The following is a 25,809-nucleotide window of genomic DNA, read 5'->3' on the forward strand; positions in this document are numbered from 1 at the left end:
AAACTGGTAAATGCATTCAGTAATGTTTCAGGGTACAACATCTACAGTCAAGAATCAGTAGCATTTCTATACACCAAAAAGAAATAGAGGAGGTAATCCCATTTACAATAACTATTAAAATAGAAGAGGACTATGTATGTGCATGAACATTTTTTGGGTGAACATGTTAAGGTTTTAGTACAAATTAACTTAGATATTTGATACAGTACTTTTCAAGAGTCATTTTAATTTGCAATGTCACTAGCACTGTTTGAGAATGTCCGTTTCCATGACCCTCATTAGCATGTGTGATTTATCTTTTTTTAAAGCTGTTTTTTACAGTTGTGTTATTGCATTGTCTGTGTGTGTGTGTGTGTGTGTGTGTGTGCATGACAGAGAGAGAGTGTGAATTATCTGTTTATGACGTTTTCCACACATGTATTGATATTTTCTTTTTATTTTACGTGAGCATTTAATATAGTATGAGCTGCAGATATATTTCTAGCTTTTTTGTCTGTTTAGTTGAGTTATGGACTCTTAAAAAATGTATACATGTTTTTAATTTTCTTGAGATCTTATCTGTTGACATTCTCATTCCTCCCTGCCCCCTTTCCTCCTAATACTTAATATTTCTATCATTCCTACAATGTACAGCATATATAGTTTATATTTTGTTCTTTGCACATAATTCCTGCATTTATTTCAGTTTTATTTCTACAATTAAACCTTTCCAGTGCCCACTAGTTGTCCTTTGGCCATAGTTTCCCCAATTATCTGTTAGGAGAAGTTAATCCTCTGGCAGTTTCATCAATAAAGGTTCATGGGAAAAATAAACCTGAGTTATTGATTGTTCAAAACTGTGTGTGTATTTGTGCATTTTAACAGCCTTATCCTTGAAGGGCAGTTTGGCTGGATATAAAAATCTTTGGATTACACTTTACTTCCTTGAGTATATTGTAGATGCTGCTCAACAAAGCTCTTTTGTTTTGTTTTGTGGTTAAAAGTGTCAATGTGAAGAAATTCAAGGCCAACTTTATTTCTTCCCTCTTTAACAAGCGGCTTGAACTTTTTCTCTTACTACCCCAAAGATTCCTTTTTAAAAATTCTATCTTTAAAATGCAAGACATTCACTAAGATTTGTGTTGGTGTAAGCTGGTTCTGGCTAGTGTTCTGTGGTATACAGCATGTTCTTCTTTTAAGGAAGTTCAAGTCTTATTTATTTTATCCAGGACATTTTTCTTGCATTAAATCTTTACCTTAATTTCCTATTGTTGTAATCTTCTTTTGCAGGACTCTGAAAATGCAGATGGTACATCTCCTTTTCCTACATTCTACACCTTTTATGTTTTTAATCTGAGCTTTATTTCCCCTTACTGTAGTTTGTTTTCTCTCTATCTTCCATATCTCTTACTATTTTTTCCACAGTGCCTGTTTTCCCTTATATTCCTTCTAATTTCATGTTCGTTTCTACTATAAATCCCGCATCTCTTTCAATGAGATCGTGTTATCCATTTATAACGCACTCAGATTGTTTTGTCACATTATTTTTTTTTCTGGGATATCTTGATCTCACAAATATATTTTCTAAAATGTACATTTATTAAGGTTCATTCTTTATGCTATAAAGTTCTATGGGTTTTCAAAAATACAATGTGTCATATATCCACCACTGCAATATCATACAGAATATTTTTGCCATCCTAAAAGCACTTTCTTACTTTCTGGCATCATAAAATGCTCCATGCTTTTCTTAATACATTTCCTCCCTGAGTCCTGTTTCTCCAGGGAGTCCTGGTTGCTTTTATTGGCAAATGGTATTAAAAACCAATATCTGGGTACTAGTATTTCTCATTGCCATTGGAGTGTGTATATACACACACATATATATGTGTGTGTATATGTGTGTATATATGTATCTATATGTGTATATATGTACACAAACATCCCAAATGTACACATATCCATAAATATTTCTATATGTCACAATCTGTACCTATATTAGACTCAATATGAATTATGAATTTATTCTAATGTACCAAACTCTAATGACCACATGTATTATCAGAGCCTCCCCATTTCTTATCTGTAAACTCCTATTCCAGTAGTAAGAAACCTGACTACTCCTATTTGGAATCCATTTACTTGTTAAGTCCAGTGAACATTTATGTTTCAGAATTGTTAACCTGTACCCTTGCAGGAAACAACTTTTATCAACTAGAGTTCTGCAGTTAGGTGTAGTTTCTTTTGCCTCTTGTCTTACAGAACCCACTCAGTTCTAAAGTTACTCTGAGCAGTATCTTTCCTCCCATCCTCTTCAGTGAGGTAGTTTTATACATTTGTAATGCACTGATTGTTTTGTCACTTTCTTCAATTTTTTGGGAGATTTCTTGACCTCCTATTTTTTAAAATTTACATATATTAAAATTCCTCCCTTGTGCTGTAAAGTTCTATGGGTACTTATATATTGATTATTACAGTATCATACAGAATATTTTTGCCAGCTTAAAAATTGTTTGTGCTTTACCTTTTCTTTTTTTTTTTTTTTTTTTTTTTTTTTTTTTGAGACGGAGTCTCGCTCTGTCGCCCAGGTCGGACTGCGGACTGCAGTGGCGCAATCTCGGCTCACTGCAAGCTCCGCTTCCCGGGTTCACGCCATTCTCCTGCCTCAGCCTCCCGAGTAGCTGGGACTACAGGCGCCCGCCACCGCGCCCGGCTAATTTTTTGTATTTTTAGTAGAGACGGGGTTTCACCTTGTTAGCCAGGATGGTCTCGATCTCCTGACCTCATGATCCACCCGCCTCGGCCTCCCAAAGTGCTGGGATTACAGGCGTGAGCCACTGCGCCCGGCCTGTGCTTTACCTTTTCAATCCTCCTTGTCTCTCTTCAAAGACCTGGAAAACTCTGATCTTATATTTTGCTTTTTTCCAAAGTGTGATGTAATTGGAATTATGTAGTATATAGCCTTTTTGCGTTGGCTTCATTAAACTTATTAACGTATATTGGTGATTCTTCCATGTCTGTTTTTTTGTTTTGTTTCGTTTGTGTTTTTATGTTTTTTTTTTTTTTTTGCCTAATAGCTTATTTCTTTTTATCACTGAATAATATTCCACAGTATGGATACACCACTGTTTGTTTATTAATTCTCCAATGAAGGACATCTTGGTGGTTACCATGTTTTAGCAATTGTAAATAATCTGTCATAAAAATTTATGTGCAAGCTTTTGTGTGGACATAACTTTGCAAATCAATTGGTTAACACAATTGCTGAATCATATGGTAAGACTGTTTTTAGCTTTGTAGGAAGCTGCTGAACTGTTTTTAAAAGTGATTGTACCATTTTTCATTCCCATGAGTAATATAGTGGAGCTCTGTTGCTCCATTTCCTTTTCAGGAATTGTGCTCCTATTATATTTTGAATTATAGCCATTCTAATATATGTGTAGTGTTTCTTTTCATTGTTTTAATTTGCATTTTCTTAGTGACAAATGAGGTTGAGCATATTTTTATATTCTTATTTGTCATCCGTATATTTTCTTTACTGAGGTTTCCGTTCGTACTTTTGCTCATTTATCCTTTGAGTTCCAAAAAAATTGTATGGATATATAATTGTACATATTTATGGAGTATCTGTGGTGTTTTGGCAAATTCATACAGTAAGCAATGATTAAATCCGGGTAATTGAGATATCTTTCCATCACCTCAAACAGTTATCATTTATTTGTGTTAAGAACACAAATCTTTTCTTCCAACTACTTTGAAGTATACAATAAATTACGGACAACTATAGTCACCCTATTGTGGTATCAAACACTAGAACTTATTCTTTCTATCTAATTAAATGTTTTATACCCATTAATCAATCTTTTTTTACCCATCTTTTCCCCCATCTTTCCTAGCCTCTGGTAACTATCATTCTACTCTCTACCTTCATGAGATGAATTTTTAAATTTTTTAAAAATTTTTTAATTGAAAACATCAACTTAAAACAAAGAGATCAACTTTTTTAGCTTCCACATATGAGTGAGAACATGTGATATTTGTCTTTCTGTGCCTGGCTTTTTTCATTTAACCTAATGTCCTCCAGGCTTATCCATGTTGCTGCAAATGACAGGATTTCATCATTTTTTATGGCTGAATTATATTCCATTTTGCATGTATACTACATTTTCTTTATTCATTCATCTGTTGATGAACATTTAGGTGGATTCCATAGCTTGACTATTGTGAACAGTGATGTATTAATCATCGGAAAGCATATATTTCTTTGACTTACTGATTTCCTTTCTTTTGGATATATACCTTGTAGTGAGATTGCTGGCTTACAAGATAGTTCTATTTTTAGACTTTTGAGGAAATTTCATAGTGTTTTTCATAATGGCTGTACTAATTTAATTCCCACTAACAGTGTACTAGAGTCCCCCTTTCTCCGTATCCTTGCCAGTGTCTGTCTTTTGTTTGTTTTTGTTTTTGTTTTTCTTCTTTTGTCTATTTGGTAATATTTTTGCCCATTTTAAAATTGGGTTTTTTTTTTTATTGTTGAGTTTGAAGAGTTTTTTATATTTTGGATACAAGTCTTCTATCAGATATGTTTTCTGCAAATATTTCTTCCAGTGTAGAATTTATCTTTTCATTTTCTTAAGTGTCTTTTGCAGAGCAGAAATTTTTAATTTTAATAATAGTAAGTTCTATTTTAAAAATGTTTTCTTCAGGCAGTGCTTTTGTTATTATATCTGAAAACTCATCCTCAAATTCAAAGAACATAGATTTCATCCAATGTTTTCTTATTTACTTCAACAGAATCCAATAAGAATACTATACAGTTATTAGAATGATATTTGTGAAGGTTTTTAATGATATTAAAAACATTTAATGTTAAACCAAATAATAGTAAATAAATAAAACTATATGAGCAGCATGATGTCAATTAAGTTAAAATGCACAGAGAAAGACTGTTAGGAAATATTCTAAAACATTAACAATGTGACTTGCCTGAGTGAAAAAAATTTGTAGATGGTCTTTATTTGCCATCTATAATTTTCTATAGCTTTCAAATTTTTAATAACAAACTCAGAGCATTTAGATGTATGGTAAATTTTGAGTTGATATTTGTGTAAAGGTAAAATCTGTATCTAACTTTTTTTTGCGTATGGGCATCCATTTTCTAATGCCATTGACTGAAACATTATCCTCTCTCTATTGAATTGCCTTTGTGTCTTTGTCAAATATTGCTTTCCTGTATTTGTGTGGGTCTAATTCTGGGCTCTCTGTTATGTTCTGTTGATTTATGTGTTTATTCCTTCACCAACACCACACTGTCTTGATCACTGTAGTTTTATAGTAAGTTTGAAATTTGGGTAGTTTGAGTCCTCCAACTTTAGTCTTCAATATTATATTGGCTACCCTAGGTAATTTGCATTTCTGTATGAACTTTAGAATTATTGTCAATATCTACAAAATATCTTGCTGTAATTTTGATTGAATTGTGTTGAAACTGTAGATTGATTCTTCTGGTAAGAATTAACATTGAGTCTTCCAATCCATGAACACAGCACATCTTCCCATTTATGTAGATTTTCTTTGATTTTTTTAAATTAAAGTTTTCTATACACAGACTTGTATGTATTTTGTTAGATTTATACCTCAGTATTTTATTTTTTGGTGCTATTATAAATGTCTATTTTAAATATAAATTATATTATTTGTAATCTTTCTAACTCCAATTATTTGAAAGCCATTGCTTTTATATAGGAAAGCAATTGATTTTTGTATATTAACGCTGTATCCTACAGCTTCACTATATTCACTTAGTTCCAGAACTGTTTTGGTGGAATCTTTGGGATTTTCTCGATAGACAATCATGTCATCTGTGAGTAAAGACAGTTTTATTTCTTCCCTTCATGACTTTTAATATCAGAAAATCAAAAAATTCTGGAGCATGACAGGAAAAAAATTTTTTAAATTCTCTCAAAATGCTTGTTGTTATTAATGATAATTCTTTGAAATTTTCTGTAAGACAATTATGTCATCTGCCAACCAAAGCAGTTTAATTTTTTTTCCGTACCTGTATTACTTTTATATTCTTTTTTTTTTTGCCATGTTGCACTACCTAGGACTTCATCTATGATGTTGAATAAGAGGAATCAGAGAGAAGATGTTGCACTGTTCCTGATCTTAGGGGAAAAGAGCCCAGTTTCTTGTAATTAAGTATTGTGTTAGCTACAAGTATTTGTAGATTTTAAAAAATTGATACATAATATTTGTACATACTTATGGGGTACATGTGATATTTTGTTACATTCCTAGAGTGTATAACAAACCAGTCAGGGTGTTTAGGGTATCCATCACCTCAAGTATTTATCATTTCTATGTGTTGGGGGCATTTCAAGTCCTCTCCTCTAGCTATTTTAAAATATATAGTACATTGTTATGAACTATATTTATAATACTCTGCTGTTGAACATTAGAACTTATTCCTTCAATCTAACTGTAGTTTGTACCCATTAACCAACCTCTCTTTATCCTTCCCCTTTCATTCCCACAACTTTCCAGTCTCGAGAATCTATCATTCTTTTCTTTATCTCCGTAAGATAAACTTTTCTAGCCCCTACGTATGAGTGAGAACTCATATCTCTCTGTGCCTGACATATTTTACTTAACATAATGGCTTCCAGTTCCATCCATGTTGCTGCGAATGACATGATGTCATTCTTTCTTATGGTCAAATAGTATTCCACCGTATATATACACCGCACTTTCTTTATCCATTCATCCATGGATGGACATTTAGGCTGATTCCATATCTTTGCTGTTGTGAATAGTGCTGCAATAAACATGTGGATGTAGGTATCCCTTTGATATACGGATTTCCTTTCCTTTGGATGAATACCCGGTGGGATTGCTGGATCATATGGTAGTTCTATTTTTAATTTTTCGAGAAATCTCCATACGGTTTTCCGTGGTGGGTTCTAATTTTCAGTCCCATCAACAGTGTATAAGACTACTCTTTTCTCTACATCCTTGTCAGCATCTGTTATTTTTGGTCTTTTAGTAATAGCCATTCTAATTAGGGTAAGATGATATCTCATTGTGATTTTGATTTGCATTTCTCTGATGATTAGTGATGGTGAGCATTTTTTCATATATCTGTTGGCCATTTGTATATCTTCTTTTGAGAAATGTCTATTCATGCCCTTTGCCCACTTTTTAATAGAGTTATTTGTTTTGTTTTGCTTTTTCTTATTGGGTTGTTTGAGTTCCTTGTATATCCTGCATATTAGTCCTTTGTCAGATAGATAGTTTGCAACTACTTTCTTTCATTCAACAGGTTGTGTCTTCACTCTTAATAATTTCCTTTGCTGTGCAGGAACTTTTTAGTTTAATATAGTCCTATTTGTCTATTTTTGTTTCTCTTGCCTATGATTTAGAGGTCTTAGTCATAAACTTTTTGCCTAGACCAATGCTCAGGGGAGTTTTCCCTAGGTTTTCTTCTAGTATCCATATAGTTTTGGGTCTTAAGTTTAAGTCTTTAATCCATTTTGAGTTGATTTTTGTAAACAGTGAGAGAAATGATTCCAGTTTTATTTTTCTGCATGTTGCTATGCAATTTTCCTAGTCATTTATTGAAGAGGATGTCCTTTCCCCAATGTAAGTCCTTGTCAGCTTTTTTGAAGATCAGTTAGCTGTAAATATATGGGTTTATTTCTGGGTTCTCTATTCTGTTCCATTGGTCTTTGTGTCTATTTTTATACCAATACCATGCTGTTTGGACTGCTACAGACTTGTAATATATCTTGAACTCAGGTAATGCAATGCTTATAACTTTGTTCTTTTTGCTCAGGATTGCTTTGACTATTCCGGCTCTTTTTTGGTTCCATATGAATTTTAGGATTTTTTTTCTTTTTCCATGAAAAATTACATTGGTATTTTGACAGGGATTGCCTTGAATCTGTAGATTGCTTTGGGTTGTATGATCATTATTGATAGTAAGTCTTCCAATCCATGAGCACAAAATGTTTTTCCATTTGTTTGTATCCTCTTCAATTTATTTTATCAGTGTTTTGTAGTTTTTGTTATTTTTCTTTTTTTGTTGTTTTTGTTTTGTAGAGGTCTGCCACTTCCTTGGTTAAATTTATTCCTAGGCATTTTATTTTTTAATAGCTATTGTAAATGTATTGCCTTCTTGATTTCTTTTTCAGCTAATTATTGTTGTGTAGAAATGCTATTGATTTTTTTCATATTTATTTGTGTCCTGCAACCTTAATAAATTCATTTATCAAATCTAAGAGTTTCTTCGTGGAGTCTTTTGGTTTTTCTACATATAAGTTCATGTCATCTGCAAAGAGGGACATTTTGGCTTCTTCTTTTCCAGATTGGTTGCCTTTTATTTCTCTCTCTTGCCTGACTTCTCTGGCTAGGACTTCCAGTACTAGGTTAAATAAGAGTGGTGAAAGTGGGCATTCTTGTTTTGTTCCAGTTCTTTGAAGAAATGCTTTCATCTTTTCCCCATTTTATGTGATGTTACCTGTGAGTTTGTCATTTATGGCCTTTATTATGTTGAGGTATGTCACTTCTGCACCTAGCCTGTTGAGAGTTTTTGTCATAAGACAGTGTTGCATTTCATAAAATGCTTTTTATGTGTCTATTGAGAATCATCAGAAATTTTTTTCTTCATTATATTGATTTCTTAAATCAAGTTTTGAGAATCTCGTTTCCTAGTTTGCTGAGAGTTTTTAAATCATGAATAGGTTGAATTTTATCAAATGCTTTTTCTGCATCAATTGATATGATTCCATAATTTTTATTCCTTAATTTGTTGATGAGTGGACTAAGATGGTTTTGTTTTATTTTATTTCATGTATTTTATTTTTATTTATATATTTATTTATTTTTGATACAGAGTCTTATTCTGTTGCCCAGGCTGAAGTACAATGGCGTGATCTTGGCTCATTGCAACCTCCATCTCACAGGTTCAAGTGATTCTGCTGCCTCGGCCTCCTGAGTAGCAGGGATTACAGGCGCCTGGCTCATTTTTGTATTATTAGTAGAGACGGGGTTTCACCATGCTGGCCAGGCTGGTCTCAAACTCCTGACCGCAGATGATCCACCTGCCTTGGCCTCCCAAGGTGCTGGGATTACAGGTATGAGCCACCATGCCCACACTATTTTTTAATGTTGAGTTTTGACAGCTCTTTACATATTCTAGATGCTGGTACTTTTTGCATACGTGTTCCAGAAATATTTTCTCTCATCCTATATCTTTTCTTTCTAGTTCCTCATCAGGGTCTTGTAGAAATCAAAAGTTTTAAATTTTCATGAACTTAAATTTATCTACTTCAACTTATGTGTAGTATGTTTAAGTATAATTCTTTGTATAACTCTTCTAGCAGTTGCTCTAGCTGTGTATTTTATGTACATAACTTTTCACAGTCTACTGGTGTCATTTTTCCTATTCAAGTGAAATTTAGGTACCTTACCTCCTTTTAAGTTCTATTATTTTTATCCGTTTATAATTGTTTTAAAATCTTCCTATTCCTACATTTAAAACTTCATTAAACAATGTTGTAATTTTTATTTCAACTGTCAAACATAATTCAGAAATGCAAGAGTAGAAAATGTATTACCCACATTTTACTTTATTTGTTCTTTCTTCCTTCTTGACATTCCAATATTTCTTCTCTTATCATTTTCTTTCTGTTTATAAACCTCCCATTAGTCATTTTTTAAAAGCATGTCTTCTGATTAAATATTCTGTTTTCCTTTACCTAGGAATGTCATTATTTTCCTTTCATTTCCAAAAGATATTTTCACTAGATTTAGAATTCTGGACCCAGAGTTCTCTTCTTCCAGTTGTAGAAAATATTCCACTTCTTTCTGTCCTTCATCATTTTTGATGATAAATCTGCTATCATTTGTTTTTCCCCATAGGAAAGAGTTTTTTCTTGCTGTTTTCAAGTTTTCCTTTGTTTTTAATTTCTAGAAGTTTGACTGTAATATGTCTTGGTGTATATTTATTTAGGTTTTCTTGTTGGGGTTTACTATAATAAGCTTCTTCAATCTGTATGTTTATGTCTTGTGCTACATTGAGAAGTTGAATCATTATTTCTTTGGATACTTTTTCCAGCCCCACTCTCTTTCTCTTCTGGAACTCTGATAACACAGAAGTTAGATTTCTCATTATGGTCCAGTACATTCTTGAAGCTCTGTACATTTTGTTTTCAATTTCTTTTCAGAATGGCCAGTTTCTGTTGTTTTACCTTCAAGTTCGATTATTATTTTCTCTGACTCCTCCATTTTGCTATAGAGCCTATTTACTGAGTTTTTAAATTTTAGTTATTCTGTTTTTCAGTTTAAAATTTTTCATTTGGTTCTTCTTTATATCTTATCTTTCTCTGTAGAAAGATATCTTTCATTTTTTAAAATTGTTTTAAGTATGTACATAACTGCTTGTTGAAGTATTTTTATGTTGATGGCTTTATTATTATTATTATTATTGAGATGGAGCTTTGCTCTTGTTGCCTAGGCAGGAGTGCAATGGCGCCATCTCGGCTCACTGCAACCTCCGCCTCCCAGGTTCAAGCGATTCTCCTGTATCAGCCTCTGGAGTAGCTGCGATTAGAAGCATGTGCCACCACACCCAGCTAATTTTGTATTTTTAATAGAGACAGGGTTTCTCCATGTTGGTCAGGCTGGTCTCAAACTCCCGACCTCAGGGGACTTGCCCACCTCAGCCTCCCAAAGTGCTGAGATTACAGGTGTGAGCCAACGTGCCTGGCCAATGATGGTTTTAAAGTATTTGTCAGATAATTATAACATTGTTGTTGTCTCACTGTTTGTGTCTATTGATTGTCCTTTTTTCATTCAAGATGAGATTTTCCTTGTTCTTGGTATGATGAGTGATTTTTTATTGAAACACAAATATTTGAAATACTATAAACGATGAGTCGTCTTTAAACCTTCTTTTTAAGCTATTTTCTCATGACAGCCTTCCAGCAGCAGAAAAGAGGATGGCTCGTTATTGCTAGGTGGGGATAGAAGTCCAAGTTTCTTGCTTTGTATTCTATTGACATTTGAGGTGGTGGAGTTTATTATTGCTACTGGGTGGGAGTGGCATTTTTGGTTCCCCATGAAATCACTGATAATACTGCCTTGGTTGGGAAGGTGTCTAGTTACTGATCTCCATGTGGCCTCCACTGACACCATGAGGAAGAGAAGAGCCTCACTGTTGACTATGGGGATGAAAGTCCTGGCTCCCTTCTCTAATACCACTACAGTGGGGTCATTGCGATGGTTTGTCACAGCCTGGGAATGGTGGAAGTCTAGGCTTCACAGTTGGCATTTGCTGTCATGACTGGAGCTAAGGCCACACTTTTTTCCTGTGGTATTTGGCTGGAGTGCAGCAGCTATTATCTAAAAGTTTCTGTCTTGCTAAATTGCCCCAATCTGCTGGTACTTTGGCTAGAGAGAGTGGGCTTTTGCTGTGGCTTATTCATCTTAACCCTTCAACATTTCTAGGTTGTTATTTTCTCCAATATTGAGTCTGATACATATGAGGCTAAAAGGGAAACCCATGGAACTCACAGGGCCCGTATGTTATATATCTATATGTGTGCATGCGTGTAAAGTCCAGAGTTTTTAGCTGTAGTGCATGAGAAGAATAGTGAAAAGTACATCTATGCCATATTGCTAAAAGTGGAAGGCCCCTCAATTTTTTGTTTTTATATTCTACTTCTATTCTTGACTCAATTCATTCACATCGCATTTTATCTCTTTATTTCTCTGTGTCTCCCCTAAATTATTGCATTTATGCTTTGTATAATGTTCTTGCATTTCCCGTGTGGTCTTAGAGGTGATAGCTTCATCACGTTTTTCAAACGCTCAATAGTGTTTATGGTTGTAATTTTTTTCTGCTTCATGGCAACATTTTATGATGTGTGTTTTTCATCTGTTGAACAGTTTTTTGTTGTTTTTTTTTTTTTTGCCACAAGTGTTGGTGTCATATCTTTATATCGATGCTGTTCTAGACCCTCTTTTATTACTTGTCATGAGTGAGTTGGCTATTTGCAGATTTGTGATGGTGTGGGAGTTGGGAGGGGGTAAGGGCCAGGGCAGTTCTCCAGGTTCATGACCTGAAAGCTCTCTCCTCTGCTACCACAGGGACAGATATGCAAATATGTCATTCCTACAAATATGGCATATCAACAGGATTATTTGCATATGCCAACTTCATCTGCTTCTTTGAGACACACCAGGTTTAAGAGTGTTTCTATTCCAGTCCTGTCTACTTTATTTTCTGCCCCTTATTGCTCATAGATGGTATAATTTTTTCATCGCAGAGTGAGGCTCTCACCTTCAGGAACTGTATTTTTGCTGACTCTCTCCGGTATTCACTGTTTTGGGCCCTCTCAACAATTTCATGTTTTTATTCTTTTCATATCTTCCCAATCTAAACTGTTTTGGGTAGTTCATATACATGTCTCTGGGTTACATTTATATCTTAGCTTCATTGTAAATGGAGTTTGCAGACATTTTTAAAAATGTCTGTCTTCTTGTTGCTGTCGTATGATTTCTAAGAGGAGGTGAAAAAATGCTAACATAGGGAGACGTTTTCATATGGAGGTTTTAACCTGCATTTATTGAATACCTAGTGTTCCAATCTTTCATTTTCATACTGCAGAAGAATCAAAAGAAGATACATATTGTAAGATGAGACAATAAGGAACAAGTTGATAGGGTTTATTCAGGAATAACAATTTTCAATTGGCTATTTAGCCTTCATCAAAATACGTTCTAGAGAATTCACGGAAAATTTCCTTTGAGTTAACTAAGCGTTGTCTCCAGTTCGTCCTTCAACTAGTTGGTGATTTTGGGTAAAGTGTTTTCAAAATTTCCACTTGAGACATTTATGATATGCTGGAATGAAGTTATAAATGCCATATACACTAATTGCTATTACTTCCCATGAACTCTAACATAATGCTTATGTTGTAAGGCAGAACTGGTATGCTTATTTTAGAGTTTGTTTTATAAGGAAAGAATCATTGTACACATACATTGGTGCTATGTAATTTGATTGAATCCATCAGACACCTTGTCATAGAATGTTTTTTTATAGGTCCTTCTGTGACAAAATGGGACTTTGGCACAGAGCAAGAGGTGTCACTTATTTTTCACTATTGATTCTAGGATTTCAACTTCACGACCTCTTTCAGTAGGCAAAATAGGAGCATTTACATACTTTTCTCATCCAGAGCCAGGCTCTGAGTTCAGCCCACTATTAAAGATTTGAAAGGTATAGAAAATTATAGATGGCAAATAAAGACCACCTACAAATTTAGCACCCAGAAATGTCATATTGTTAATTTTTTAAAATATTTCCTTTTGGTCTTTTTCTGTACATTTTAACTTAACTGGCATCATGCTGCCCATATCATTTTATTTCTTTGTTTTGTTTGGTTTAATATTAAATATTTTTGAATGTCATTAAAAATCCTCACAAATATCATTCTAATAACTGCAGAAATATTCTTATTCAAACCCACTGAAGTATATAAACCTAGATTACAATAAAGCAAAGGCATACCATTCTTGAATAGTAATTTAAGATATCTTATAAAAATGCCCATCACTCAAAACAATAGAAATAAACTGTAATCTCAATTAGAAGTATAAAAGTTCTTTAAAAGTTGTTTGGAAAGAGTGAAATTTAAAAGGCGAAATAATCTGAATGTCCATGTGGAAGAATAAGTGTCCAAAATATCTAAAAACTGTATGAAACAGAGAAATCATGGGAGATAGTTAATTTCTAGAAATTAAGATCGGCTATAATTTAGCCTGATGCTGGAAATAATAAGGTATTAACATAGAAAGAGACACATATTTGTGTGGAAAGAAATGTAACTGTGTATACTTAGAAAATTAAGATGTAATGAAGATGGTACTTTAATTAGTAGAGGAAGAGTGATTTATTCATGAAATGTGCTTTCACAACTGGCTGTCCATCTGGATAAACAGCAATTTTGGACACCCCACTCCACAAGATAAATAGAAATAAATTCCAGATGGGTAAAAGATTAAATTTTTTTAATCTAAATAAAACCTGATAAGAGAATTTAGAAGAATGTTTTTATAACTTCCATGTAAAGGAGAGTAATTTAAGCAATTCAGAAACTCAGAGCCATAAAAGAAAAGAGAAATCTAAATTCATAAAGATATTATTTTTGTGGTGAAGTATACCAAAAACGAAGTCACATGACAAATGATAGGCTGCAAGAAAAAGTTACAACACATATGGCAGAAAAAGAATACTAGCTATAATATTAAAAAATACCTACAATTAGGTGAGCAAAAGGCAAGTGTGCCAATAGAAAAATGTTCAAAGAATATGAATAGGCAATTGACAGGAGAGGAAATTCAAAAGGCTAATAAACACATGAAGGAATTCTTTATTTCATTAATATCAATGTGATACTCCTTTTTGCCCATCAGACTGACAAACATTTAATAAGTACTGGTGGAGTACATGAAGGAGAATACGCTCATACATTGATGGTGGGATTGTTTATTGGTATACACGTTAAAAAGGTAATATGGAAATATGTATTTCAAATGAAAAAGTACATCCCTTCTTTCCCAGCAATTCCCCTTCAGAGAATCTTTTCTATCAAAGTAAAAGCACTAGTATTTAGTTATATATAATTTATATATAATTTAGTTATATATATAAGTGTTTATTTTAACATAGAATAGCACAAAACTGCAATCACTCTGAATGCTAATAAATAGGAATACAGTTAAATAATGTCTCACCCATATTAGGAAATATCACACCACTAATAAAAAAGAGTGATTTCAGGTTTTATGAGGTGACCCATAACAATGTCTATGATGTGTAATGTTGAGTGGGAAAAGCTAGCTGTAGAGAAATGTCTATAGAATGATTGTACTTATATAAAAATAAGCAATGATAAAAATGTCCTCTGCATGGGAATTTACACTTATCAATTATAGGAAGAAGGATGAGGAAGGGTAAAAACCTGTGGGTAAATAGGCTTATTTTAGTGAGATGAACATGAGGTAATAAATACCAGAAAGGTAGCAAAATGGAAATATTTTGATGGTATAATGTTTTGTTATATATAAACTATAGAATTCTATTTTATTATAACAGTACAGTTGTATATACTTGCAGAACCATTGAAGGGTTCCTGATATAAATGAAAACATAAATGGGCAATATCTATCAAAATTACTTATGCATTTACCTTTAATCTGGCCATCTCTTTTGTAAGAATCTACCCCAAAACACATTGGTACAAGTATGAAATGACATACACATAAGATTATTTATTGTGACATCATATGCAATGACAAAAATAGTAAATAACCCACTTGTAGATTCTTATAATGAACAGTGAAGAGAAATGAAGGAATGATATATACATAAACGCAGAGTGTTCTGTAGGATATTCCATTAAGTGAATGTTGTGTTCTTTAGGATAAGTATAAGTATGTTCCAAACATTGCAGGGGTATACTTACACTTTTATTTATTTATTTATTTATTTATTTATTTATTTATTTATTTATTTATTTTAAGACGGAGTCTCACTCTGTCGCCCAGGCTGGAGTGCAGTGGCACGATCTCAGCTCACTGCAACCTCCACCTCCCAGGTTCAAGCCATTCTTCTGCCTCAGCCTCCTGAGTAGCTGGGATTACAGGCACGCACCACCACATCTGGCTAATTTTTGTATTTTTAGTAGAGAAGGTGTTTCACCAGGTTGGCCAGGCTGGTCTCAAGCGCCTGACCTCGTGATCCGTCTGCCTCGGCCTCCCGAAGTGTACTTACACTTTTAAAAAAATAATTGTTTAACTGAAATCCAAATTAGTAGGTATCCTGCATTTGTATTTGCTAAATCTAACAGCCTTGTTTGGGGAGAAGACTCTGAAATGGAGTTTAGTGTGCAGAATGTTGAAAAGCAGCGCTCCTGGGATCAACACCTGTGAAGGCAGGAAAAGGAAGCAGGATTGGGCAGAGGGAGAATTGCACTGCGATGAAAGCCTGAGCAACAACTTTACATGACCCATGAGGACTTCTGGAGCTACATTTGCTTATCAGAGGGTCCTCTACTGGGCTGAAATGACTGGGCTTTGATAGCTTCCCTCTTCACTGCTCAATCAGTCATTGGATATGGTCAAGACAACTCTCTGTGGCTGAAATGCCCTTGAAGGGGCTGACAGCTGAAGACCATCTGCTTATAGCTTTCCCAGCAGCTTAGCAAAAAATTCCTTTACTGAAGACGAGTCTGGGCAACTAATTTCCTTGTCCTTTATAGAGAAAAAAAGCAAAGTGCAAAAAAAAGGAAAGCGTGTTATGCATGCTACCTTTGATTTTCAAGGTGTAAAATATAGTGTATGGTATTTGTTGCCTATGTTTATAAAAATAAACGCTAAGAATATATTAAAGTTAATACAAATGATTAATAATGTTAAAAAAGGGAATAAGGCAATGGAAGTAAAACATCTATCAGTGTACTTTGTTAAATACTTTTGATTTGGGGTGTAATTTTTTCATATTAATAAAAGAAAAAGTTAAAGCCAAAATGAAAAATGAAGCCCTAAAAAGTTAAATGAAAATAAATACATTTATATAAAGTGCTGGTGGCAAAACAATTCAAAGAAAAAAAATTACATCAAGTCATTCTAGAGCAGTGTTTTCACTGCATAACCTTAAGCTGGATTTATCCTCAGGTCAAAAATTTAAGAACCACAAAATATTTTAAGTTTTGTTCTTACTGATATTATTGTTTTGAGATTAAAGTATGTTTATGTAGGATAAAAAATATTTTTCTAATATTGTTAAACACCTGAATTTTCAGCAGAAGAAAAAAGAGATACGAGTACAAAATCAAAGAATCTGAGTAAAAATCCTGTAACATACTATTTGAATTGGAAATATCAAAATGACTCATTTTTTAAAAATAAAAAGTCATTATTTTCTAGTTTTGTGCACTAAAAAGCCCCAGAAACAATGACAAAATAGTTGTCATGTGTGCTAAGTGTTCAGAATGTGGTCTCTAAATACCATTATTTTCTTTTTTTTCTTTTTTTATTTTTTAATTATACTTTAAGTTTTAGGGTACATGTGCACAACGTGCAGGTTAGTTACATATGTATACGTGTGCCATGTTGGTGTGCTGCACCTATTAACTCGTCATTTAACATTAGGTATATCTCCTAATGCTATCCCTCCCCTCTCCCCCCTACCCCACAACAGGCCCCAGTGTGTGATGTTCCCCTTCCTTTGTCCAAGTGTTCTCATTGTTCAATTCCCACCTATGAGTGAGAGTATGCGGTGTTTGGTTTTTTGTCCTTGCGATAGTTTGCTGAGAATGATGGTTTCCAGCTTCATCCATGCCCATACAAAGGACATGAACTCATCCTTTTTTATGGCTGCATAGTATTCCATGGTGTATATGTGCCACATTTTCTTAATCCAGTCTATCATTGATGGACATTTGGGTTGGTTCCAAGTCTTTGCTATTGTGAATTGTGCTGCAATAAACATACGTGTCCATGTGTCTTTATAGCAGCATGATTTATACTCCTTTGGGTATATACCCAGTAATGAGACTGCTGTGTCAAATGAATACCATTATTTTCTGACAGCATCTTGGAGAATTTGTTGTATGGTAGAGCAGTGCAGTTCTCATAGCCCAATGCAGTTGTGTTAAAAAGATGTAGAAACCAATTCCTCACTCTGAATGTTGGGAAGTAAAGCATATTTCCTGCCTTTCCCCTGTGAGCTGTATTTCAGGGTAACCAAATAAAGCCTAGTTGATGAGGGAAAATTCTTAAAGAAGAATTCCAGCTAATAAATGTGGAATGAGTGACAGAAAAATTGCCATTTTGCAATCTTAATGAACTGATTCCAGGCAATGGTTATCAACAGATTCCAAAACGATGGGGTGAAAGACAAATGGACAACTGCATATTTGCAGGTTGCCAAAGAACTGTAGATAGATTTAAGGGCCAATTTGTAACTTTACAAGAGAGATATTAGATTGTTGCTTCATGAACCTTCATGTGCCCACTGATAAACTGTCATATTAATAAATGAGACAACCAGATTTTATGTGCTTCCTGATGTGAGACACTACAGAGTACATGTTGCACATGAACCAAGCTAAACCTGAGTCAAACCAAGTAGCTGGGTGTAATGAACAGATTGCAGGAAGTAAGGGGAGAAAAAAAAACAAGTTAAATGGCACTACCAGGAAGAAAACAGACAAATCCAGAATGAGGACATTCTAAGAGAAATTGGAGGGAACAGACCCAGTTTCTTCAAGCCAATAGCTTTTGGGGAGAAAAGAACAGACAGGAAAAAAAGGAGATTTAAAAGACATCAACAGCTAAATCAATTTGTTTATATTGTTTGGGTCTTAAATCACATGAATCCACTATAAAAGGACTTTTCAATGGTCATTTGGGGAAATATGATCATGGACCATATTAAATGATGTCTAGGAACTATTGCTAATCTTGTTAGGTGTAATACTCATATTGTGATTATGTGGGAAAATGTCTTCACTTTTTGGGAATACATAGTGAATATTTAGAAATAAAATAGCGTGGTGTTTAAGATTTGTCTTTTTAAAAGTGGTACATGAAATACATATGGAAGATGTAGACAATCTTCATTCTCAGTAATAGGTATATAAAGGTTCAGTTTCTTATTTAAGCACTTTAGTATGTGTCTGCAGAACTTATATAATAAAAAAGAAAATTTATCTGAGATTTGATTTGAATACATATATTTCTTCTCTCTTTCTCTTTGGCGTGTCGTCTCTTAATTCTTAACAGTATCTTTTGAGATGCTCTTTAATAATTCCACCCAAACATATATCCCCTTCCTAACTCAAGAAACTGATCTCTTAAGCACTCAGGTTACATCAGTGGTTCTCAAATGGGAGCAATTTTGCCTCTTAGGGGATATTTTGCAATATCTGGAGATATTTCTGGTTGCCACAGCTGGCAGCTGCTACTGGCATTTAGTAAATGTTGAATTAATAAATAAACGTATGAATGAATGAAAACCAGAATAATTTGTCCCAATGAACCAGGAAAACTTTAATGGATCATGGCTCTCCCTGGATGGCTCTTTCAAAATGTTTGTATTTTTTTCAAGCAGATAGCAATTCTGTACACTAGTAAGCTGATACTTGTTTAGTAATTTAGTTTAAAATGAGAGATTGAGAGTGTTGTAAAAATTATAATACAAGTCAAAAGCTGTTTGAAATGCTGGGATTCTTAGCTGTAAAGTTTTATTTAGTTTGTATTCTTAATTTGTAGTTGCCAATCTTAACATTTTTCATAACAGGTATTCAAACAGTTCATACACATAGCTCTTGAACTCTATTATATGAATGTTGAAACCTTTTCCTTTGCAGACTTTGAGAAGGGTTAGTTTAAGGGAAAATTTGAGACAAAGAGTATTCTCAGGTTTGGAAGATAAAGGTTGTTTTGCATATTGGTTTGTTTTTACTTCTGAGTAAATGAAAATGGTTTCTTCCTGTCTTTTCTTATTCTATTCATCTTCTCTTCCTCTCCCACACTCATGCTCTCATAGGTAACTTCCCTTCATAACTCCTTCCACTAGGAGATTGGACATGGGGAATCCCAAAGTATAAATCTCTTTATGATTTAAAATAGTTTTTCATCTACTTTTTAGGCATTTAATGATTATACTTTGAGAGTCATTAACTTTGTAAAATAATTAATTATATATAAAAAGACATATCACTCCTTCAGTCCCTAGCAGGGCTAGTATACATTTGTTACATTTGTTGACCTTTCTACTTGGTTAAAAGTGTAGGTATATTTTTACAATTGTTTTCCCTTAAAATAAAAATAAAAAAAAAAAACAACCTTATGGTCCTCCTTTTAGCTAACAGGTAAAAGCAAAAAGTCATATTAGAAAATAGCTTTCATTTTCGTAAATGCTATAATTAGTCATTTGAAGACTAAAACTATGGCCATGACCGCTCATGTTCTTTGAGGTTTCCACGCCCACTTTCCGTATGAATTGGGGTTTTAAGTCCCGGTGTCAGTGCCAATCTTAACTTAGAAATTACATTCTTACCACTCAGAAATTCCTCCTGGAGTTTCAACAGGAGAAATTATTCTTCATTTTCCCTCCCAAAAACTGTTGTGTAATATTGCTGGCAGAGAGGGGATGATTGGTGCCACTGCAAAGCTAGCTAGATTTCAGTGGAGGTTGAAGCAGTATCTAAATATAGCATGTAAAAAGCCTTAGGCTAACTGTAGATGAAAAGCATTCTAGATATGTAAGGTATTATTGCTACTAACGCATTATTATTTTAACTTTGCTACAAGTTACAACGAGCCTATAACATCTGCCCTACAGTATTGCAGTGAGGCATGCTTTCTGCTGTGAATTTTTCACCTCTAACAATTTGTTTTTCTTGTATCAGCACTACCTGTCAATTTTTATTAAGCAAAGTAACTTGAGGCATTTTGAATTTTTTTTACCCTGGATGTCCTTGGTGGGGAGTGAAATGACCAACAAAACCATTGGTTAAGGATGCAATCTTTGAGAGCCACTAAACCCAGGAGCAGAAAGCAAGGGCTAAAAAAAATTACCCAGGGCAGAAAACAAATTTGGAAAAAATAATCTACACCAGTCACACTGAGTCTCAAACATGATTCAGTTGCTACCTGCTGATTTAATCAATCCTTTTCAGTTAAAAAATATAAATTGGAGTGTAATATGCATGATGAAAAATTTTAATAAAACATATAGGGATTTTTTTAATGGGAAATAAAAATGATCTGAAGGTGACCACTGCACATTTTAAAACCTCCTGAAAAAGAAAATCAAATGATAGGAAGGCATCAAAGCCTGTATGCAGTCCTGCACATTTATTATAATATAGAACACTTTAGTTCTTACTTCCTTGGAATCAGAGAGGTAAATATAGTCAATCCGATGACTTGAGGCCAGTCTTTAGTTGAGGTATTTTGATTTTGATCTTCAAGAAGATCAAATAGTTTTGCTCTCCTCCGGACATAAAACTTCTGTGGACATAAGGGGCAAAGAAAAGGGCTTGAGGCAAATTATTGTAAATCCATTTCCACTGTCATTGGCAAGTAGAAGCACTTGTACCCCTGAATAGCAGGGGCCCCGCAACATCTATAAACAAAAGACACAATATGCTCATCAATAGGTCAGATGCAAAGTTCACCTTTCTCTGTCAGAATAAATAACAAGCTTACTAGAAATTACCTTCTCACTGCCATCTAAAAGTGGTAGACTTCAGATTTTCTGGTAAGAATTCTATAAAATAAGGATTTTTTTCGTCTATCCAAGTGTTATCCAATAGAGCTTTCTAGGATGATGGAAATGTTCTATATTTGTGCTGTCCAGTAAGGTAGTCACTAGCCAGCTGTGGCTATTACCACTTGAGATGTGGTTAATGTGACTGGGAAGCTTTCTAATTTTATTTTATTTCAGTTAATTTTAATAGCCACATGTGCCAGTGCTAACATATGGAATAGAATAATCTAGGCAACAGGGGAATTAATTAAACAAAATGGTAGCCAGCTGAAAGCCAGAATGTGTCCATCTTTCTAAGGAATGTCTAGGCCCATGAACTTTGATAGACAAGGTGGTGTAGAAGAAAAAGCACGGTGTTGTAGTTTCAGCATCTGGGTTCCAATCCTCCTTTTCTCTCCTTCTGTAAAATAATGGTAATAATACTTACCTTGTTAATTTTTTCGTGAAGATTAACAGAGAAAAATGTTCTTATGATAACTAACAGTAGGTCCACCATGTAAGAGGTACTCATCAGATATTAATACTTCCTCATAATCACTATAAATATGTTAAAGATTGAAGACAAAGGCCAAAATTGGGCACAGCTATTAGCCTCAGAACATTTCATTGTTGTAGGTGTGTGTGGATTCCTGGGAAACCAGCCAAAATGTGGAAACTTATTCAAAGGTTGGATTTATTCCATTTATTCATTCAATATAAATTGAAATGTCGGGTTACATACAGCACTCTGCTAGGCTGTGTGGGGGTGACAATGGGGGGCACCAAGAATATTACCCATCCTTGAGTTGTCATGGTGTATAGCCCAGGACAGTCTGTGATTGGGTGAGTTGGGAGGTTGCAGCAATAGTCTGTCAATACTGAAGATTTTGACTAACGGCATGACCTACTTGATGATGGATGTCAGACTCAGAGTCCCTTCATAATTATCTGATTAGTGGCAATAACTCACTATATCACCTTTTTCTACATTCTTGTCCATTATTTATTTTAAGCTCCTAAAGTACAGATATGTCATCTTAACTTTACTTAAACAGTGGTAGAGTTGTTATGTTTTTTGAAAAATTCCTGTGGATGCTGGTAAAGATTAACAAGTGTCAGATAATGCTTGAAGAGCACTATTAATATCTCTTTCCAACAGTGTTTTTCCATCCTGAGTTTTGGACTAGCAATGTACTGCCCAGGACAAATAAGGTAGGCTTTTGAACAAACATCCCAACTCAGGGTCACAAATCTGCAAGAGCTAGGAGAGTTCTTCGCTGTGGGGAATCACACTGGCTGCTTGCCTCCATGCTTTGGGAGCAGTATAGCATAATACTGTTGGCAAGAGCGTTTTGAAGCCTTCTGGAAAACATGAGTGAAAATCGCAGCCTTGTGCTAACAGGTCAACAAATTTAATCCAAGCCAGACATAAAATGACAGAAGCTCCGCTGATTATCAAGGTCCCTGGCACACCCTAGTGTCCATCTCAAAGTCAACAGCTCTACCTAGCTCTCTGATTTCAAGAGGGGAGTTGGGTTAGAAACCACTATTATTCCCCATCTGGTTTACGAGAGACAGAAATGAGATGACTAGAGACAGAAAATGTGCTGTCCAGGTTATATCTCATTTATGAAGAGATTTAACCTAGTTTTTAAGTATGTAAAATGAAAAAAAATAAATTCATTTGAACTTTAATGCATAGAATATTTGATAAGTGAGGAAGAAACCAATGAATTAGAGACTGCATATTGCCCTCTGATATCAACAATTCTAACTAGAGTTACTGCAGGGATTAGACTACGCTACAGCTCATGTTAAGTTTTTGGCAGATGGAGGATTTGGAGGTGTCAGTAAAGCCCAATGTAATTAGAAAATAATTTCTGAAATTTGAAGCAGCAATGGTTATTAATTGAGTCAAATGCTAATTTCCCTTATAAAGTTCCAGGGGAGGTACATGAGGGCAGTTTTATTTGCTAGACCTTTTTATTTACCTTCTAACAGATAATATAGGGTAAAGGAAGGTGGCTTGGAAGAAAATGTCCAAACGAGTTTTACATTTAATGAAAAAAAATGACACACAAGAAAATCCAGGCATGAGGCAGTTGATTTCTCTGTTGGGATGTATTTCAGGAAAAGATGGCAGTGTGCCTTCCCCATCAGGACTTGGTAATCATTCCACTATTCATGAACAGATGCCTTGGTCAGATCCCCAAGTGTAAGTGAATTCATTAAAAGATCTAGGGAATTGAGGTATTAATTCTAAATTATTACATATTATAGATTTTCTGGAAACAAGTAGGGGGACATGGCAAGGAGAGGAAATAGTAGAGATTATATCTAACTCTTGGCCAGAAGTTGGTCTCATGAGATCACCAAAAGAGCACTTTTTAGCATAAGTTTTAAACTCTTTTTAAAAAGGATTTAAGCAGTTATTGTCACAGTGTAGAAGGTTGATATAAGGCAAAGTAGAATCATGAATGTTGCATACCATATATGGAAACCCTAGAAATAATCTATTGGATGGAAGAGAGTGCACAAATCATTTTCTTCTTTGTATACTTTATAAAAGAACTCTTCTGATATCATTTTTTATGAAGGAGACTCTGTCCTGTAGAATGCCTGCAATGATGGTGTTTGTAATAGTAAGTAGTTCTCTAAATATATTGTGGCATATTTTTGAAATTTAGGCTTAGTTGCTCTCTTTCCAGATTTTTATTTTTTCACTCAGACAATTTGGCACTGGTTGATGTGTGGGTGGATATATTTTCTCACCTGCACAATTAACTTGAAGTTATTTTTGGAATCGTTTTCATTTTCAGCTATTATGATTATACCATACTTGGGGAAAATGCTGTTGAATTTGAGTTAAGATATTCTGAATACCTAAGGGCAAAATGTAACAATCAGGTCACACAGAGAACTTCAAAATAGCAATTGAAATTGTTTTATCAAGGATTAAGTTTTTGATTACACAATTCTTATGGATATATTCTTATGGATAGTTCCATCATAACACTCCTACAGGGGCTGTATTAAATGTTCTACCTACCTCTCAAATGATTTAATGTCATCACAAATAGGAGTTACTTGAATTGCCTACATGAAATTTTACTGTAGAACATGATTGAAATGGATTATAAAATATACCTTATTTCTATAATAAAATCCTGGCTTAACCATTGCTACTTTTGAGCCTATTTTTTTTGGTTTGTTTTGGTTTTGTTTGTTTGTTAATCTCTCACCCCCTGCACTGCTGAAACAATGATGTGATGAACGCTTTTTTGACACGTTGGTCAACAAACAGGAAATATCGTTCTTAGTGGTTGTGCAAACCATTTGAGGAGAAGTTTAAGACTCTGAGAAGATGCATAATATAGGCATCTGCCTGTTCACATTTTTGTGGTAAAGCAGGATTGAGCAAACTGTAACCTGTAGGCCAAATCCAGCCCATCATTTGTTTTTGTAAATAACTTTTAATTAGAACATAGGCTCCTTGGTCTATGTATTATCTATGTCTGCTTTTACACAAAAATAATAAAGTCGAGTGATTTTCACATAGATCATTTGGGCTTTGAAGCCTAAAATATTTTCTATTTGGTTCTTTACAAAAAAGTTTTCCAACCCTTCTCTAAAAAAAACAGTTGTTTGTATGTTTCTTTTTATTTTGTTCCTGAATTTTCTTTTTTAAGAAAAACTGTGATAAATGCTATAGATTCACTATAATCCAAAAGATAATCCAACCCTCTTGTCCATTGCTATTTCTACAATATAGTCTGCAAAAATCTACATGCTCACTTCTCAATTTCCTTTTTAGTTAAGGACAGCCATATGACTCAGTTCCAGCCTTTGCTATATGAATGAAAGATGGCTGTGGAATTATGGGAAACAGCCAGGGTAACATCATCCCGTGCTTATTTTCTTGCCTTGAATGTGAACATGATGCCTTTAGTTGGGGGACAGCTACCTTGAATCATGTAGGAATGCCTGAGGAAATAGCAGAGATATCAGTGCTAATATCTTTGATTTTTGTTAATTGCAGTCATAAGTTTCTATGGTTTGGATGTGGTTTGTCCCCACCAAAACCCATGTTGAAATTTGATCCCTAATGTGGCAGTGTTGGGAGGTTGGGTCTAGTGGGAGGTGTTTGGATCATGGGGGCAAATCTCTCATCAATAGGTTAATGCCATCCCTTGGGGTGAGGGAGTTCTCACTCTCAAGGGAGTGAATTAGTTCCTGAGAGAGCAGGTTGTTAAAAAGAATCTGGCTTCCTCAGTTTCTCTCTTGCTTCCTCTCTTGCCGTGGGACCTCTTTGCACATACCCATTCCCTTTCTGTTTCTTCCATGAGTTGAAGCAGCACGAGGTCCTCACCAGATGCAGCTGCCCAACCTTGAACTTTCCAGCCACCAGAATTGTTAGCAAAATGAACCTCTTTCCTTTATAAACTACCCAGTCTCAGGTATTCTGTTATAGCAAAAGTAAACGGACTAAAACATACGCC

At 34.4% G+C, this 25,809-nt stretch overlaps 1 long non-coding RNA gene across 3 annotated transcripts in view, besides 1 other annotated feature; it reads left to right on the forward strand.

Annotated features, from left to right (window-relative positions):
• SAMMSON (survival associated mitochondrial melanoma specific oncogenic non-coding RNA) overlaps nucleotides 1–25,809 on the forward strand; it is a 435,002-nt gene that overhangs the window by 363,874 nt on the left and 45,319 nt on the right. The gene's annotated exons all lie outside the window — the stretch shown is intronic.
• Nucleotides 19,869–19,918: an enhancer, noted in NCBI's record as "active region_20058". NCBI's record gives its function as "activates an Ori minimal core promoter by ATAC-STARR-seq in GM12878 lymphoblastoid cells {active_cell/tissue: GM12878}" and the evidence as "EXISTENCE:reporter gene assay evidence [ECO:0000049][PMID:35858748]".

The sequence above is a fragment of the Homo sapiens genome, chromosome 3 (assembly GCF_000001405.40).
Source record: "Homo sapiens chromosome 3, GRCh38.p14 Primary Assembly".
Classification (NCBI taxonomy): Eukaryota; Metazoa; Chordata; class Mammalia; order Primates; family Hominidae; genus Homo; species Homo sapiens.